General features: G+C 45.6%; 3 long non-coding RNA genes across 15 annotated transcripts in view, besides 3 other annotated features; 1 reads left to right on the top strand and 2 right to left on the bottom strand.

Annotated features, from left to right (window-relative positions):
* Positions 1 to 5,880, bottom strand: part of LOC105372639 (uncharacterized) — a 41,073-nt gene extending 35,193 nt beyond the window's left edge. For all 8 annotated transcript variants that reach the window (XR_936798.3, XR_007067629.1, XR_007067628.1 and 5 more), the window contains exon 1: positions 5,834 to 5,880. This is a non-coding gene — a long non-coding RNA (uncharacterized LOC105372639). The remainder of the gene's footprint in view (positions 1 to 5,833) is intronic.
* Positions 3,731 to 3,780: an enhancer, noted in NCBI's record as "active region_18013". NCBI's record gives its function as "activates an Ori minimal core promoter by ATAC-STARR-seq in GM12878 lymphoblastoid cells {active_cell/tissue: GM12878}" and the evidence as "EXISTENCE:reporter gene assay evidence [ECO:0000049][PMID:35858748]".
* A 1,010-nt stretch (positions 5,881 to 6,890) lies between the features above and the next one.
* On the top strand, positions 6,891 to 15,919 carry LOC107985437 (uncharacterized). Its single transcript, XR_001754652.3, has 3 exons — positions 6,891 to 6,960; positions 8,736 to 8,971; positions 15,711 to 15,919. It is a non-coding gene; the product is annotated as an uncharacterized LOC107985437 (long non-coding RNA).
* LOC107985436 (uncharacterized) overlaps positions 10,036 to 18,138 on the bottom strand; it is a 34,006-nt gene continuing 25,903 nt past the window's right edge. For 4 of the 6 annotated variants that reach the window (XR_007067623.1, XR_007067624.1, XR_007067622.1 and 1 more), the window contains 2 exons: positions 11,399 to 12,236; positions 10,036 to 10,883 (listed from right to left, as the gene is read on the bottom strand). This is a non-coding gene — a long non-coding RNA (uncharacterized LOC107985436). Of the gene's footprint in view, positions 12,237 to 14,194; positions 14,282 to 18,138 lie in introns of all 6 variants that reach the window. The other 2 variants (XR_001754651.2, XR_007067621.1) reach the window with 2 other exon arrangements.
* Positions 10,276 to 10,776: an enhancer, noted in NCBI's record as "H3K4me1 hESC enhancer chr20:46649067-46649567 (GRCh37/hg19 assembly coordinates)". NCBI's record gives its function as "activates a minimal SCP1, AML or CMV promoter by ChIP-STARR-seq in primed H9 embryonic stem cells {active_cell/tissue: H9 hESC(primed)}" and the evidence as "EXISTENCE:reporter gene assay evidence [ECO:0000049][PMID:30033119]".
* Positions 10,777 to 11,277: an enhancer, noted in NCBI's record as "H3K4me1 hESC enhancer chr20:46648566-46649066 (GRCh37/hg19 assembly coordinates)". NCBI's record gives its function as "activates a minimal SCP1, AML or CMV promoter by ChIP-STARR-seq in primed H9 embryonic stem cells {active_cell/tissue: H9 hESC(primed)}" and the evidence as "EXISTENCE:reporter gene assay evidence [ECO:0000049][PMID:30033119]".

Here is an 18,138-nt window from a genome sequence, read left to right as displayed (position 1 = left end):
GTAGAATGCCCGTAGAAGATGGAGAGATGTCATTATGCTTCACAATGACATCTACCTCTACAGAGTATCTAAAGAGGTAAAGGCTAGAAGTGAGACTTTGAAAGATACCTGTGGCTTTACTGGGCACTGAACTTGGCCCACAGTGACACTGGTCTAAACTGAGGGTCCCTGAATTCTCACCTAAAAGACACTGATTTCCAGAGAGGCAGATTGCCTGGGTAGGGGAAGGTGAGAACAAGGGAAGTGCAGAGGAAAAGGAAAAGAGCTCATTAAAAAGTCCTTTTCACCATTCACTGCTGAGAGGATAATAGTGATGGAGAGGAAGTTACTAAAAGTCAGCATTAGCCAGAAACTCATGCTCTGAAATTGACAAGAACACCAATAATGATTATTCCAAGTGCATGTGGCTTTGCTAGTGCAAATTTCATAATTTGAGTTTCTGGCATTCATTGCCCCATCTTCTGGTAACCAGACCCTGGTAACCAAGCAGTCACTCTCCTGTTGCCCATCACCAGGTTCAAGATGAGCTCCAGGTTTGGATCTAAGGATAGAAAACGTGACCAGGTCTGGCCAATTAGCTGGTAAATCCCTCTGACCTGGAAGTGATTCAGGATGAGCATGTGGCAGGAATTAATCCAAGCAGAGTGAGCCCTGGCTCTGGAGCAGGAGTGACTGGGAGAGATGCTCCCTGGGTCAGGCTCTGCTGGATGTCCACCCAACAGCTCCCCACCCCTTAGTTCCCCAATCCAGAGGCTGAGAGTGCCCGTTCCTTGCTTTCCCATCCTCCTTTGCAGGGAAGGCAGAATCACATGAATCAGTCCAGCCAGTGGACTCTGAGGGAGTGTCTGTTGGGGTGTAGGGTGGGGAGGTGGAGGGTTCTGGGGGGGATTTGACGTGTCTGATAAAAGAGAGATGTGCCTGACAAAAGGCTTGCTTTCCTACCTTCATTGGACACTGTTGTGTGAACACAGCAAGTGGCAGCCATTTTGGGGCTATACCAAAATAAATCACGGAATTACAAAGAAATCTCCCTAGAGCCTTAGGTTTTGAGTTACTGAGTCATTCTCTGAGCTACTTACCTTCAGGCTTCTCGTTATGTGTGGGGTGGGATGGGGAAAGGGGGAACTAAGCCACTTTTTAGACTGAGGTTCTATTATTCTGCTCAAATCATTTTAAGTGGACTTAAAACATAAATGGTTCTGGAGCTACTAGAAGCCATCTTACCTCCTGCAGAGCCCAAGAATGACTCTGTCATGGAGGAGAATGGAGCTGAAATAAACAATCCTGGTGGCTTATTTAATCCCTTAAATCTACCTAAGTCTCACTCCTGAGTTTTTCAGTTGTATAAATCAATACATTTTACTTTTGCTTAAATCAGTTAAGGGTGTCTTTCTCTTGCAGTTGACTACATTAAACTTTAAAACTTTTGCATAACAAAGGATGTCGTTAAAAATTTAAAGATGTTCTCTACAGTAATATTTATAACAGCAAAAGTAAATGAATGAATGAATATATAAGCAAATGAAAAATACTTAGTTGTCTATAACACAATGGTTAAATAATATATGGTGCACCCATACAGTGTGTGACTATGCAGGCATTTAAAGAAATAAGGTGGGTCACTGTGCACTGGCAGAGGGCTATGTCCCAGACATCTATTACATGAAAAAGGGAGGTGACGAATAATATTTATAGGCCAAGCACGGTGGCTCATGCCTGTAGTCCCAGCACTTTCAGAGGCCGAGGCAGGCAATCACTTGAGGTCAGGAGTTCGAGAGCAACCTGGCCAACACAGTGAAACCTAGTATCTACTAAAAATACAAAAATTAGCCGGGTGTGGTGGCGTGCACCTGTAATCCCAGCTACTCGGGAAGCTGAGGCAGAAGAATTGCTTGAGCCCAGAAGGCAGAGGTTGCAGTGAGCTGAGATTGCGCCATTGCACTCCAGCCTGAGTGACAAAGCGAGACTATCTCAAAAAAAAAAGAAAGAAAAGATATATTTATCTGTATGAATAACTGACATATATGCACTTTGCATGCCCACATTTATAGAGGTACATGCATAGAAAGTAATCTAAAAGAACATAGGCTATTTATATGAAATAATACTGAGCAGGGAAGTGAAATTGTGGGAAAGGAGGATGCTTTTATCCCATACACTTGCAAATTGTTTCAATTTTGATAGAAGTCTATTTTTTGTATTCATTGTGAGTTTAAAAATAAAATTAAGATTTGAAAAATATATAAAATAATTGTGATGCTCTAAGTGGGCTCTACTTAATACAAAACATTTCCTAATAAAGAAAGAAGAAGAGAGACGATAAGCAGCGTGGACAGGTGGACATGCAGCCTGGAAGCTGGAACGTTCTCCTTGACTTTCCACCTTGGTCCTTCAGTCTCCATGACTGAAGCCTGAGAACCAGCTAAGAATGCGCTCCCAGCCAGCATATTGGGAGCACCCCTTTGACCCCAGGGGGCCAGCCCTCTAACACAAGTGGGACCCAGTCTCTGCCCCCTGCCAACCAAGCTCTGGCACCTTAGAGCAGCTCTCCAGGCCCCAAGCTGAGCATGGCTGCAGAAGGGCTTTTTTGTTGAGCCCCTGTGACCCTCGTGGCAGTTCCATCCAGCCCAGTTCCTTGGAGACAGCCTTTAAAGGTATCAGTTCCACCCTCTAGGGTGACGAAGAGGAGTGAATCTCCATCATTTCGTGTTTCCCTCATACATGAGAAACCAGCAGTTGTAGCCTGCTTCGTGTGTATAAAGCTGCCACTCGAAAGAGTATAGGCCGGGCACAGCAGCTAGCACCTTTAATCCCAGCACTTTGGGAGGTTGAGGGGGGAGGATCATCCAAGCCCAGAAGTTTGAGACCAGCCTGGGCAATATAGGGAGATCTATTATTCTTAATGAGAGTGGCCATGCTGTACATTAGGTCTCTGGAAATGTGTACCCTTTGACTGTCTCCCCATTTTTAATGTACTTCTATTTTTTTTTTAAATTTTATTTTTTGAGATGGAGTTTCGCTCTTGTTGCCCAGGCTGGAGTGTCGTGGTGCAATCTCGGCTCACCGCAACCTCTGCCTCCCAGGTTCGAGCTATTCTCCTGTCTCAGCCTCCTGAGTAGCTGGGATTACAGGCATGTGCCACCACACCCGGCTAATTTTGTATTTTTAGTAGAGACAAGGTTTCTCCATGTTGGTCAGGCTGGTCTCAAACTCCCGAACTCAGGTGATCTGCCCACCTCGGCCTCCCAAAGTGCTGGGATTATAGGTGTGAGCCACCGCGCCCAGCCTTTTTTTTTTTTTTTTTTTTTTTTTTTTTTTTGAGACAGGGTCTTGTTCTGTTGCCCAGGCTGGAGTATACAGTGGCATGATCTTAGCTCACTTCAGCCTCAACTTACTGGGCACAAGTGATCCTCCCAACTCAGCCTCCCAAGTAGCTGGGGCTACAGGCACATGCCACCACACCCACCCATCTCTACAAAAAAAAAAAAAAATTTTTTTAATAAAAAAGCAAAAATAATAAATGAAAATTTTTAAAAAAAGAAAAAAAAAACAGTACAAAACACCAAACAAGTCAGCAAGAGTCTCACAATGTGCTCATATTCTAGAATAATAATGTTCACAGTGACCGCAATAGCAGGCACTTCCTTAACACCTGCTCTGTCGGAGGAGAAGCGTGTTCTGCCCTGAGCCTCGGCTGTGCTGAGCTCCTGTTGTGTTCCAGGCAACACAGTCTCTCTTGGGCATGGACCAGCATTGTGCTGCAGGACAGATAGATGTGAGGGGAATGGTGAGGCCCTCCAGGGCCTTGTGGATTCTTGTAACATCATTGGCTTTTACTCCATGGGAGGAGACAAGCCACAGGCTGCTGTGAGTTGAGGAGTGGCAGAGATGACTCCACTGTTGGCAGACCCTCCGGGCTCTGTGGGGAATAGACCATCTGCAAGGCAGTCTGCAGCCAAGGAGGAGCAAGGAGACCCAGGAAGAGGCACCCGCAAGAATCCAACGGGAGATGATGGCAGTTAGGGCCACAGCGGGAGAGGTGGCATGCTAAGAGGTGAACTCAGTGAAACCGACAGGATTTGCTACCAGGTTGGGGGTGGGAAGGACAGAGAGAGGTGTGAGGGCTGACTCTGGCTCAGAGGCATCTATTTACATATGAAATCGACACCAAAAATACATATTCTTTCAAATTTTTATCAAAGTCATACAGGGTAATAGGATTACATGGCTGATAATGAAAAGCTGCAGTTTCCCACACCAACCCCCACTACTACTCTCCAGGAACAACCATTTTCAGCAATTTTAGCATGTCTACGAGTATCACCTCATTTCTGAGTAATATGTTTAGGTTGCTATTTGCTCTTTTTTCTAGTTATTACCTACTGTCTACTGGCTGTGAAGCAAAAATCATGAGGATTTCGTTCTCAGACCAGAGCCCCTCACACATTCCCCTTTGCCCATCTTCCTGGGAGAGCCATATCGAGCCTTCACATATGTAAGAAATATAGAGGAGCCTGGGCAGCATGGCCAGACCCCATCTCTACAAAAAATAAAAATTAGCTGGGTGTGGTGGCACATGCCTGTAGTCCCAGCTACTCGGGATTCTGAGTTGGGAGGATCGCTTGTGCCTGGGAGGTAGAGGCTGCAGTGAGCCGAGATCACACCACTGCACTCCAGCCTGGGCAACAGAGCAAGACCCTGTCAAAGGGAAGGGAAGGAAAGGGGAGGGGAGGGGAGGGAGAAAGACGTTAAAAATGGGGAGACAGTCCAAAGGGTACACATTTTCAGAGACCTAATGTACAGCATGGTGACTCTCATTAAGAATAATGTACTGTATATTTATACTCAATATTGTACACGTGAAATTTTCTAAGAGAATAGATCTTAAGTATTCTTACCACACAAAAAAAGGCAACTACATCAGGTGACAGATATGTTCATTACTTTGATCGTAGTATTCATCTCACAACATATGCATGCATCAAAACATTACTTTGCACACTTTAAATATATATAATTTTTATTTGTCAATTATACCTCCAGAAAGCTGGAGAAAGAGAAATGCTCAGTGTTTACACCACCGTGGGTAAAAGCATCCACAACTGAGCCATGAGGTATAAAATTTAATCATCTTTCTTTTACACATTTCTTGTTCTGTTTCGTTTTTGTTTTCTCGAAAATGAATAATGACTTTGAACTTTTCCCACTTCCCTAGTTTTCTCCATAGCAGTTACTAATCCACCCCTAAATTCCCTGCCCTGACTCATCAATTCTAACAAATGTTTAGTAAGATGGTAATATAGAGGAAAGTGGCAAGGACCAGGGTATTGAAGGGATTTATAGGAACGTTCTGTACTTTTTGCTTAATTTAAACTGTTCAAAACACAAAAACATTCTATCAACTTAAAAACAGAAAAAGACAAAAGAGAGAAGTCACCCATATCCTACCACACCTTTCTTTCTTTCCTTTTTTTTTTTTTCTTTTTTTTTTTTTTTTGGTAGAGTTAAGCAAAGTTAGCATGGCCAGGTTCACCAACACCACTGCCTCCCTAGATTGGACCTCGGACCTTGGGCCACCACACTGGGTGCTCCCAAACCTGACAGGCTCCAGGAGAAACACAGACCCCTGGGCATGTCGCCTGGGCAGCCCGAGGCAGAGTAGACCTGCACTCCTCAGCCCTCGTGGCCCTCCGCCTGAGACGGCCCCCATCCAAGCAGCTTTGTGGATCTAGAAGCAGAGCCAGCCCTTCCTGGCTGCTACAAAAAGACCTTCCAACCACCTTCAGGGCTGGCACGAGCCCCCTCCCACCTTGGGATGTGATCCTTGTCTTACCTTCTATTGCTGAGGGCAGGGAGCCTCCGGGAGACAAGGAGCAGAAGGCCAGCCAGCTGCGTCAGCCTCTGAAACCACAGCCCCTCCCTATGCAGCCCTCACCGCCTATGTTCTGTGGCCAGCAGGGCCTTGGCCCAGTGCACAGACAGACCTCGAGGAGTCGGGCATCCGGGACCAGACTGAGTCTCACAGACGCATATGCAGTGTCAGGCTCCATCTCCCAGCCAGGGGCCAGCCCTGTTTTTAATTTTCTTTGCTGGAGCTGCATAAATAAATAAACACACGAGTGTGTGGACGGATCCTGCCCTGCTTTGGATTCCTAACCCCAGCTGGTCTGCTCCTCAGGTGCCAAGATCTGAATAATTAAGAGGAGAGAAAACCTGTGACTCCTCTCATCTGCCATTTGCAGGAGAACAGAGGTCCCTCCTAGAAGACAATTCTTTCACAATTTATTGCATTGCGTTGATTTGTGTTTTTGTACCAGCCCCTTGCTAAGCTCCAAGCTCCACAACAACTAAAGCGGTCTGTGAACAGTTTACCCCTCATCCCTATCCCTCCCATTCCACAGGCGAGGTCACTGTTTCTCCAGGAATGGTCTGAGTCTTATTAAAAATGCAGATTCTCAAATCCCACCCCTAAACTACTGAAATTGGGCTCAGAGAATTAAACATTTTTAAAAGCTCCTCAGGGGATTCATACACACATCTACCTTGGAAATATTTTGGAGTAGATGAGAAACAGACCCATTTATCTCTACGGATTAAAAATAAGACTGGTCTTTCTGTTTATATTTAATGCAGTTATTCATACAATTTAGGTCTGGTTTCTTACTATTTGTTTTCGATTTGCATCACCTTTCTCTTCTTCTGCCTTATTTCTTCTTATCGAGTATTTTTATTATTCCATTTTGTCAATTCCAATTAACTCGTTCATCTTAATCTCTTCATTATTCTTTCACTGTAATACTAGGGATTATAACATATCTCCTCCAGTCATTCTGGTCTGCCCTAAATTAGAGTCTTGCCACTTCCTGGACAATGAGGAACCATAGAGCACTGTAACACCATTAAACATTTTTCCTGGATAGACGCATCATCCCTGTCACATCATCTAATTCTACAGATACGGTAAGCCCCACGGGACATTCTTGTTATTGTTTTGTGTACTCATTAAATTTACCAATGTATTAACCCTTTCTGTGGCTCTCCGTTCCTTCTTGCGCGTCTACACTTCCATTTAGAATCATTTTTCTTCTGCCCGAAGAACTCTCTTTGGTGTTCATTGTAGTGCAGATCTGCTGGCAATAAAGTCTGTCGATTTTCACTTCTCTAAAAATGCCTTTATTTCATCTTCGCTTTCAAAGCATATTTTTGATGGGTATAAGATTGTAGACAGGCAATTATGTTTTTTCAGCAGTTGAATCTATGTCATTCTGTTATCTTCCACTTCCATCGATCTTATTGAGAAATTCGCCGTTTACTTATGGTTTCTTCTTTGAAGGAAATGTATAGTTTTTCTCTGGTTGTGTTTAAGATGTTCCCTTTGTCTTTCACTCATGGCAGTTTTACTATGATGTGGTGAAGTGTATCTTTCCTTGTTTTTATTATGCTAGGAGTGCTTGAATCTTTGATTTCACGTATTTCACTAGCTTTGGAAAATCCTCAGCTAATATATTTTCATATAGTGCTTCTGTAGAATTTGTTTCCTGTTTTGTTTTTTGAGACAGGATCTCACTCTGTCGCCCAGGTTGGAGTGCAGTGGCACGATCTCAGCTCACTGCACCCCGTGCCTCCCAGGTTCAAGTGATTCTTTTGCCTCAGCCTCCCGAGTAGCTGGGATTACAGATGCCTGCCACCAAGCTATGCTAATTTTTGTATTTTTCATAGAGACGGGATTTCACCACGTTGCCCGGGCTGGCCTCAAACTCCTAGGCTCAAGCAATTCACCTACCTTGGCCTCCCAAAGTGCTGAGATTATAGACATGAGTCCCCGCACCCAGCCTTAGAATTTCAATTACGTGTATTTAGATCTTTCATCATATTCTATATTTTCTGATGCTCTTTTTTATATTTTCAAAGTTTTTATGCCATACCTCAGCCTGTAGATTTTCAACACACCTATCTCCTGCTTTGTCTAAATTGTTGATGTACCTATCACTTGTATTTTCAATTTTAGTTATTTTATTTTTCAGTTTGAGACTATTCATCTGATTCTGCTTTATAAATTCCATTTTTCTGATGAAATTTTCCAGCTTTTCATTTTTTAAATTAATATATCACTAATTGCTATTTCAAAGTTTGTATCTGATCATTTCAGTAACTAATCATCTGTGGGTCTTTTCTTGTTGTCTATTTTTTTTATTGCTTGGTTTTTGGTCATTTGCACCTGCTCCTGTTATTAATACTTCTGATGACTTTTTTTTATGACTTCTGGCTATTTTATTTGAAAAACTGAGTGTCTCTTGATATCTTTTCCCAGAGAATAAATTCTTCTGTCAACCACGATGGTAGGCACAGATTACCTTAATCAATCTGGGATTAAGGTAATTTAAGGCTGATTTTCTGTCTTTATAAGGCCTACTTTATTTTGGTTTGATCTTTCTTCTAGGGCAATTCCTTGGAGGACCTCAACTGAAAGACTTGCATATTTTCCAGAACTCCTGTTTGTTGAGTCTTAAACCCTAATTTTTGTTGTTACGGCATCATGATATTGATGAAAACTGCTTGGTTTCTTAGCTTTTGGGGGCCCACTTTCAGCTCGGCTTCTGAGCATCTCATTCTGGATCAGCAAACACTGATACAGAAATTCAGACTCACTGTCAGGGGTCCCATTTTCTCTGACATCTCTGTCCCTCAAACCCTGGCTTTCTTGTCAGCTTGAATGTCAACTTTCGTCTCCCCAGATCTGTGAACTTGGCATACAACTCTGAGCCACTGCTTTCTGCTTTCTCAACCCCTCTGCACTTACAAATTGGCTACTAGCTCAAGGAGATTCAAGGCTACTAGCTTCAAGGAGAATGTAGGGCTTACCTCGTTGCAGTTCGCTTTTCCATGGGATCGTGGACCCTCAAGTCCTGGCAGCCTGGGTTGCTTTCTGATGCCTTCAAACAACTCCTAAATGCCTACCAGCACCAAGCAGGTAAGTCAAACAATGAAGCAATCCAAGCATGATCAAGAGGGTAAATTCAGTTATCAAAGATGAGCTATATTTGGCCGTGGTGATGGGGAGACTCTAGGACTGGAGGGACTGAGGTAGACCAGGAGGAGAATGTTCCACCCTAAGGGCACGTTGGTAATAGCTGCCTGTGGCAAGATAGGAAGGCGGACTGAGTATTGGGAGAGCTCCGTTATTGTAACATATAAGCTGTTTGATGTCAAGAACACACACACTTAAATTTCTGACAATTTCATTTTAAACATTATGCCTCCAATAATAATAATAATAATAATAATAATAAAAACAGTTTGGCACAGAAGTTTATAGCATAGGCTGTGGAACCAGACCATCTGGGTCCAAACCCTGCCTTACTCCTGCCCAGCAGATGACCCACAGTAAGGCATTGAACCCCTCTTGGTCAGAGTTTTCCCATCTCTAAAATGGGAATAATAAGAGTGCCTATCTCAAGGGGTATTGGGAGAATGAGACAAGTTAACATACATGAAACACACAGAACCCAAAATCATGAGTGCTAGGAAAGTGTTCACTAAACAAACAAATGAAACAGTTTGCCAGACAGAGCCCCTCTCCAGGCTGATTTCAGCCCACAGCCCACATGTGGAAGCCTCTGCCCTGGTCTAGCCCTCCTTACTCTACGGATGGGGCAAGAGGAGGTACAGAAAGAAAGAGGGGTCTGCTCAGGCATTTGCACAGCTTGTTAGTTGTAAAACTGGCTCTAAGGCTGGAATTTTCTTTTCATACATTTTATCAATTAAATTGTGTGCTCTGTAAGTCAAGCAGCTAATTTCCCTTGAAGACAGAGGGGTCAAATCTTGCTCAAACTATAGATAATTCTCTAATTGCTGTGTCTGCCCCAAATCCATTGTGATCATTAGCAGAGCCCCCTGTGCTCCAGCTGAGAGAGGAGAGGGAGGCTCAGGCTCATCATTGCTCATCTAAATGTTTAATAATGCTCCAATCTGCAGATCACTGGGGCATCAAGCCTAAATTAGCCTGATACTTAAAGCCACGAATAACAAGAGGAGTGAGAGGGATAAAGTTTGTTTAATGAAAATTTCATCAATGCAGATTTCTCATTGAATATTAAGGTTTTGGCTTGAAGACAGCATCAGAGTGGAGTCTGCTGTGACATTGACCTTTATCCCTTGGAGACACAGGTGCAAAGTCAGGCTGGTTTCGCTCTCTGAGTGACAGCACAGTGGATTGTCCTGGCAGTTACAGCGAAGGAAGGTCCTGAGCCTGGGGTAAAGATGGCTCAGCCCTGTTCTTTTCAGGGAGTTTCTCTGCAGGTCCCGGCGTCTCTCCCCACCAAGGCTGCCCTTCCCGGACCTCCCACTCCTCATTCAGGAGCTCCTCCCTTCTTCCAGCTGTGCATCCCAAATCCTGGGAATCCTCCCTGAGCCATGCATGCTGTCCTCTAACTACTGCTATTCAATCCATCCGCAAGTGCAGTCAGCCTGACCTCTGTGAAGACCTGCCCAGAGGCTCTGGTCACGACAGTGACAGCCAGCGCCCTTTCAGTGGCATGCAAGGTCTCGCACAGATCCAGTTGTGTCCCCTCTGACCTCAGCCCCTAGTGTCCTCCTCTCCCATCTACCTCCAGCCACATTGGCCCCTGCCCCTCAGACATGCGGCACACATCTTTCCAGGCCCACACTGGCTGTCCCTCTGCCTTGGACCATCTCTCCCAGAATCCATGAGACCCCCATTCTTTCAGCATCCTTGACGAAAGCGGCCTCCCTGAGCGCCTGCTTAGACTCCTGCCCATCCCCCTCTGTCCCATCATCCTCTGCAAGCTTCCTCCTGGGGGTCATCAGCGCCTGGCTCCTGACTTCGCTATTGTTTGAAGTTCATCATGTGCTCAGCAGCAAGGCTGGAGGAAACAGACATGAATAGCAAGGACCTGTCAATTTCTAACAATAAATTCACCAGGAGTAGTGCAGCACCTACTGTCAGGCCGGGTCTAGGTCCTGGGGACACACCAGAGGACAAAAGATCCAGAGTCCCTGCCCTCGCCAGGCTGCCCCTCTGTACACCCACAGACCCTGGACCTCCAGCAGGAGAGGGAGGAGCCTCGGCTGCCAGAACAGCTCTCAAGGAAGCCCTTTGGCAAAGGGGCGGTTGGAGTTGAGCTCTAGAGAACAGAAAAATCCACCCAAGTGAAGACTGATAAAAGGTGCACAGGGTTGGAGATTTCCGGAAACAGGGGAGAGGGCTTTGCCTCCAGCCAGTGTGACCGAGGAGGACAGTATGAGATGGCAGGGCCCTGTTTTCAGCTAAGTCACACGCTGAGGTTCCAGTGGACATGAATTTGGCAGGGACACTCTTCAGCTCAGGGCAGCTTCCCCTTTTCCCCAGATCAGCATCCAAGCACCCACTCTGACTCACCTTTGGAAAGACCTTCAGGCCCCGAGGGTGGTCAGTGAATGTTTCTGTTGGTGAATTACATTCTTGATGGTTTTGCCTTGGCTATGTCCTTGCCTACAGCTTCCCAGGAGTTGAAGGTCACATTTGGGGCTCACCCACCTTCAAGCCCCCTCTTCCCTCCTCAACCTCAGGGAAGCTTTTCTGTTTCTCTGTCAACCCAAACACCCACTTTGTCTCTACTGAATGACGTTGTCTTTAGTTGTTTGCATTTTGAAAAAATTTGCGCCTTTTGTCCCTATTTTCCTAGGCAATGAGTCAAAGGGCAGAAGAAGCCCCTTCACCCTCCAGCCACACATCACCATTTTACCCACAACAGCACAAAGGGGGTCCCTCTCCCATCAGAGCAGGGAGAAGACCCTCAGGCCTTGGGATGTGGAGCAAGTCACTTTTTTCTCCTCAGCCTCAGTTTACCCCTTTGCAAATGAATGGGTTTGTCTAGATGGCTTCCGAGGGCTTCTCCTGACTCCAACACTCTAGGATTCAAATATTTATTGTAGAATTCTCAGCATTCCATTCTCTGAGTCTTTCCCTCATTCAATTCCTCAGCAAATCCTCATCCAGAGCTCACTCTGCCACAGGTCCTTTTCTTACTTAGAGCAGGGATCCAGCAGCGAACAGACAGATGAAATTCCACACTCATGTGGGTGACATTCCTGTGGGTGCAAATGACAATAGCAAAACGGGAAGAGAGGCAATCAATTCCAGATGGTGACAGTCCTGTGCAGATCACGGGTATATGGCGTCGGAGTGCAGAGGGCTTCCTTGGGAAGGTCAGGGGTGTTCTCTGAGTGGGTGACACCTGGGTGAAGAACAAAGGGCAAGAGGGTGCAGGTCAGAGGGCGGCTGTGGGAAGAGCATTCCAGAACGCAGGAGCAGCAGGTGCACAGGCCCTGGGGCAGGAGGACTGGGGCGTGGGAGGAGGAGCCAGAGGCCAGTGCGGCTGGGATGGGGGAGTGAGGGGAGGTGGTGGGAAGTGATCTGGGGAACCAGCAGGACTCTGCTGGGCCTTGTGGGAGGTGATGAGGAGGTGGAGTCTGCTGTTCCCAGTGCAGTGTGAGCCGCTGAAACATCCGCTCAGGGCCACATGGTCATTTTCAGGAGCTCACTCTGGATACACGCAGAGAGTAGATTTCAGGCATGGGAAGAGGAGTGGGAGCAGGAGGGCCCATGGGGGCTGTTGTAGTGACCCAGGTGAGGACAGAGGTGCAGACTTGGGGACAGCAGCAGGGTGTGGAGAGGAGTGGACAGACAGGGGTGCATTTTCAATTTAATAGATTCCATGGCAGCTAGAAGATGAGGGAGGGCCTGAGGATGCTGTCTGCTCACTGGCTTGAGGAACCGGGCATTTGGTGGCACCACCAACTGGGAAGGGGACACTGGGTCTTTGGTGGCTTTGTTGAAAAATTGCCAGATCTGAAAGCCTGAGAGGCGCCAATGACTGACCCTCCAGGCTGCCCTCCCAAGGGCCTTCTGGACAGGAGGCCATGGGTACAGAGGGACCAGCATCCTGGTTCCCATATGCCAGTCCCGACCCAGGGACTGAGCCCCAGGCAGACCGTGGAACAGCATAAGACCCAGATCTGGTGCTGCCTGGGCAGAGCTGAGCCCAGGATTTATGAAGGAAACTGGCAGGAACAGAGCAATTCCTTCAAACAGCACCTTGCTCCTCACCATCCTCAGTGGCACCCTCAACCGCAGGAGGGAGAATGGTTAGAGGATGGCATTCTTACAGGGTCCTTCAAGACTGCCATTTGCATTTGAACAAGGCTGTGCTTTCTTAGCCCCAGTCCCCTCCATAAGCCCAGGCTGTAAACTGGAAATAAATTTAACTGCATACAAATGTCAAGATTCCAGATACCCGATATAATCAAGGACACATTCTTCATTACTCCGGCTGTTATACTTACTTCTCAGTAGACTTCAGGGCCCTCATTAGAGACTGAGTCATCTTGTAAGTGCAATTAGGAAGACAGAAAGAGACAGGAAGAAAGAGAGAGAATGAAAGCTGGAGAAAGGAAGAATGAATGAGAGAGAGGATGACAGAAAAAAATGAGAAAGGAGAAAGAGGGCTTTCAACATCCAGATGAGACCCCAAATTTTCATTGATTTCTTCAAATGTTCTCTGGACAGGATGACTTTAAATATTTTTTTGTTTATTTAAATTTTTGAGACATTATTTGATGCTGGATGTTAGCCACAAAAATAGCCTTCTAAGAACCAAGACTTTGTCTACATTCCCCCTTTGGGGGTGTGTTAGTCCATGTCATGTTGCTATAAAGGAATACCTGACACTGAGTAATTGATAAAGAAGAGAGATTTAACTGGCCCACGTTTCTGCAGGTTGCACAGGATACATGATGCAAGCATCTGTTCAGCTTCTGGTGAGACCTCAGGAAGCTTCCGATCATGGGGGAAAGTAGGCATGTCACATGGCAAGAGAGAGAGCAAGAGGGAGGGGAGGAGGTGCCAGGCTCTATTAAACAACCAGATCGTGAGTGACCTAACAGACCAAGAACTCACTCATTACCAGGGAGAGAGCACCAAGCCTTTCATGAGAGATCTACCCCCATGACCCAGACACCTCCCACCAGGTCTCACCTCCAATAATGGGGATCACATTTCAACATGCAATTTGGAGGGGACAAATATCTAAACCATATCAGGGGCACTGGTAACTTTCTCAAGTCAGCACTAGAAACTCCCCTTTGGCTATAAGAATCACCAATGTAACAATAACTCAGACATGGGTAGCCCTACCGTGTGCCAGTTTGAAATGCTCAGCATGCAGCAACCAGTTCATGCCTCCCAGGAACTATGAAGGCAGAGCTTCTCTCAGCCCACTTCCTGTTGGGGGGAAAAAAGGCACAGGAGGTGGAGAACTTTCCTGGGTCACACGTGAGCCCGCAGGGCAGGTTGTGCTCCCAGGACCCCCTTCCATGGGTCCTTCTCCAAAGAGGTGGACCGAAGAACCTGGTGGATTTATTTTCTGGCCAGATAGATGATTCCTGGTTAACCCTGGCCTTTGGAGGACTTGCCCTGGACGTAAATAGTGGATTTGCCAAGTGGGAGGAGCTGGCTGTCCTTGGCGAATTCCTGGTCAGTTCTGGATGGAACCAGAGTAGTGGAAACCTGGCAAAGTGAAGCTCAGGTTGTCTCTTAGGGGAGGCCTGGAGATGATGCGCTCACCCTGCTGGGGCTGCGCCCACCAGCCCCTGGCAGCTGCCTGCCCTGCAGGACCCAAAGACAGAGGCAGAGAATCAATGCTGCCTCCTGTGTTGCAACCACAAGGCAAGAGGTCCTCAAGATGCTTCCCGGCAAAATCTAGAAAGTTGGCCTCCAGGAAGAGTCTCAGGCTCATGTGGGATCATTGTATGTTTTCCCAGGCTAAAAAGAATTTAAACAAATATCTCTATTACTGATAACAGAAGGCTGCCTTTATTACTCCACATATACAGTTACACAAAGCAGCGAGTTGTTACTCACTTTAAGCAACATTCCAACCACAGGAAATTTGGTGCCAAAATCCTGCCTCATCTTTCTCTCATGACGATCCTGATCCTTGTGGCTTCGGCTTATGGAAACCACTGGTGGGAAAGATACGAATGCTTGACATCTTCTTTTCCCTTATGATATACACTTTGTAATGCCAAGATTGTATTATACACGTTCTATTGCCAAGATTCATTTGTATGTCTCTGAATAAAAGATTTCATACACCAATACCAGATATATACATTGATGGAATTTACTTATTTAGGGGCCATTGGGGAAACACATATAAATTATTCTTTCCTTGGAAATAAATTTTTTGTCCCTATGACAGCAAACTATGAGACGAATGAGGAGCATGAACGTAACTCAAACAGAAGGAAAATCACCACTTTATAAAGAAATAGGTAAATAGTGAGTAAAAGAACGCAGAACAGAGTGTGTTTATGGATTCTAAACCTTGCCAAAACCAAAAGAATTTTTAAGAAAATACTCAAAGTGTCTTTGTAACCTCAAACATATCATGTTTAAACATCTTTAGTAGACAATGGGACCCTCCGGGAATTAAAGCCAGTATTTAAGAAGAAATAAAAAATGAACCAGAACTAACATTTTGAACTTGTAATGAGAAGGAAAAGTGTAGACACAAAAGGAAAGTCCAAACCAAACAGTATTCATAGGAAGTTTCCAAAAAATCAAAGTTTTAAATTTTAATTTAATGTATCTGTTTCTGCCAAATATTAACTATTGTGTCTTTTGCATTTCCTTTTTTTTTTTCTTTCAGGAAATGATAAAAAGAGGCTGATGAGTTTCGGGTGTGGTTCAGCCTGGGAAGCCTCCTTATTCACAGGAAGCCAGTCCTCGGCTTACACAGCATCAGGGGATCAACCACCACACCGTGATCTAAACTGAGGCCCGCAGAAGTTGGAACAATGTTAAAATGAAAGCTTAAATCAGCCCCAATTAAAAGATGATATGTCATTTAAATCACAAGGATGTTCTCTATGAGGCCTTAGAGCTGAAGTCCTTGCACAGCCGACTCTGGCACCCATCAGCACATCTCAGACCTTTTCTAGGTTTGGTCCCTGCATTCATCAGGACTTTAGATTACAGGTGGCAGAAATCAAATCAAATGGCTCAAATAAAATGGACAATTGCTAGTTCATCATATCTTTTTAAAACTCCAAATATAGACTTTCAGGTATGGTTAACTTCAGGTTCTAGGTCTAGGCAGCCTTCTTCCCCATCTTTAGGTCTGCCTTCCCCTCTGTGGGCTCCATTCTTGGGCAGCCTCTCTTTGTGGCGTGGCGTGGCTTCTGGCAGATCCAGCAACTCCCATAGAGATGTGAGTTTCATATCCCTCAGTTTCCATGGGAGAGCTAAGTCTCATTGGCTCTGACTGGACCCCTTGGCTATCTCATTGAGCCAGTCTCTGTGGCCAAAAGGGCTGGAACACTCTGACAGTTCAGTCCCAAGTTAACTCATGCCACTGTAGAAAAGCCCCCAGTCTCAGATTTCGAAGAAAGATGTGACTCTTTGTAAGAGCTGTGTCATAGGAAGGGGGAAAGCACTCACCAGTTTCCTAATAGAGCAAAACGTCACTTGTAATCTAGGGTCCTGATTAATGCAGAGACCAAACCTAGGAAAGATCTGGATGCTGGAGTCTACTGTTTGAGGACTTCACCTCTAAGACCTCATATAAACATCCTTTCAAGCTTTCTTCTATACCCAAGGCCCCTCCAACCTTTGCCTGGAGAGGAGAGACGGTGACTCTGGTGAGGAACAGGCTGAGCGGCAGAGGGGCGAGCAGACCTCTTCATTGTGGATCCACGTCTTCGTAGAGGCTTTTGAGAGGATCCTGACCACATGCATTTGGAAGAGGTCACTATATTTTTTCAGTAAAACATTTAGGATCTGTAAAGAGGTCACGGTGTTCGGCTAGGGGATAAAAAGAACTGAGAGTTTCTTTGCCAGTTGGGATTTTTAACTTGTAAAATACGTGGCTTGAAATTCTGTTTATTTGGCTGGGCGTGGTGGCTCACGCCTGTAATCCCAGCACTTTGGGAGGTCGAGGTGGGTGGATCACTTGAGGTTAGGAGTTCGAGACTAGCCTGGCCAACATGGTGAAACCCCATCTCTACTAAAAATACAAAAATTAGCTGGGCATGATGGTGGGCGCCTGTAATCCCAGCTACTCGGGAGGCTGAAGCAGGAGAATCATTTGGACCCAGGAAGCAGCAGTTGCAATGAGCCGAGATCACACCACTGCACTCCAGCCTAGGCGACAGAGCAAGACTCTGTCTCAAAAGAGAAGATAATTGGGAAATGTTATTTGAATATTTAAGTGATCAAGTTGAGTATGCATTTCTAGGGGATCTTGGATGACGTAGAGTCACTGTGCCTCCTCTCCAGGCAAACCTTTTAGGGGTCTTGGGTACACTTGGGCATAGAAGAAAGCTTGATGTTTTGCTCTATTAGGAAACTGGCAAATGCTTTCCTCCTTCCTATGACATAGCTCTTACAAAGAGCCACATCTTTCTTTGTACAATGTCACTCCTGCCATCTCTCCAGTCTCATCTTGTGTCACTACCCCACCCCCATTCCTACCACTCCACATTGGTCTCCTTTAAGTTTCTCGTGTGTGGCAAGTTCTGTACACAGATGTCCCCTCCATCTGGGATACCCTTTCTGCCACACCTTCAGCCAATGAGCCTATTCTTATCCTTCTGGGCCAAACTTAACTGTTACCTCCTCCAGCAAACTTCCCCTGACACCTGTCCACCAGGCTTTCCTCTCCCTCACCCCCAGGATTCTCCACCTCACTTCATGTTTGTTTCATTCCATATGTGTCTATGGAGTACCTACTCTATGCCAGGCACTTTCTAGGGGCCAAGACTACATCACTGAGCAAACAGACAAACATTACTGCTCTCACAGAGTTTATATTCTAATAAAGAGAAGAAAGAAGTAACCCAAATAATAAGGAAACGTTATAGTTTATTAGAGGGTGATGAGTGCCATGGAGATCAATATAGCAGGAAGGAGAAGAAGGCTGAGAGGATGCAATTTAACAGGAATAGGGAGAAAAGGGCTCCTTGAGGAGGCAAACTTTGCACATGGATCTTAGGGAGTAAATGATACAGTCATGCAAATATCTGGAGAAAAAGTCCATGCAAAGTATAAAATAAATAAAAACAGTGCCAGGTTGGAAA

Source organism: Homo sapiens, chromosome 20 (assembly GCF_000001405.40).
Source record: "Homo sapiens chromosome 20, GRCh38.p14 Primary Assembly".
Taxonomy (NCBI): Eukaryota; Metazoa; Chordata; class Mammalia; order Primates; family Hominidae; genus Homo; species Homo sapiens.
The sequence above is the reverse complement of the archived record's forward strand: the minus strand, read 5'-3'. Positions and strand labels throughout refer to the sequence as shown.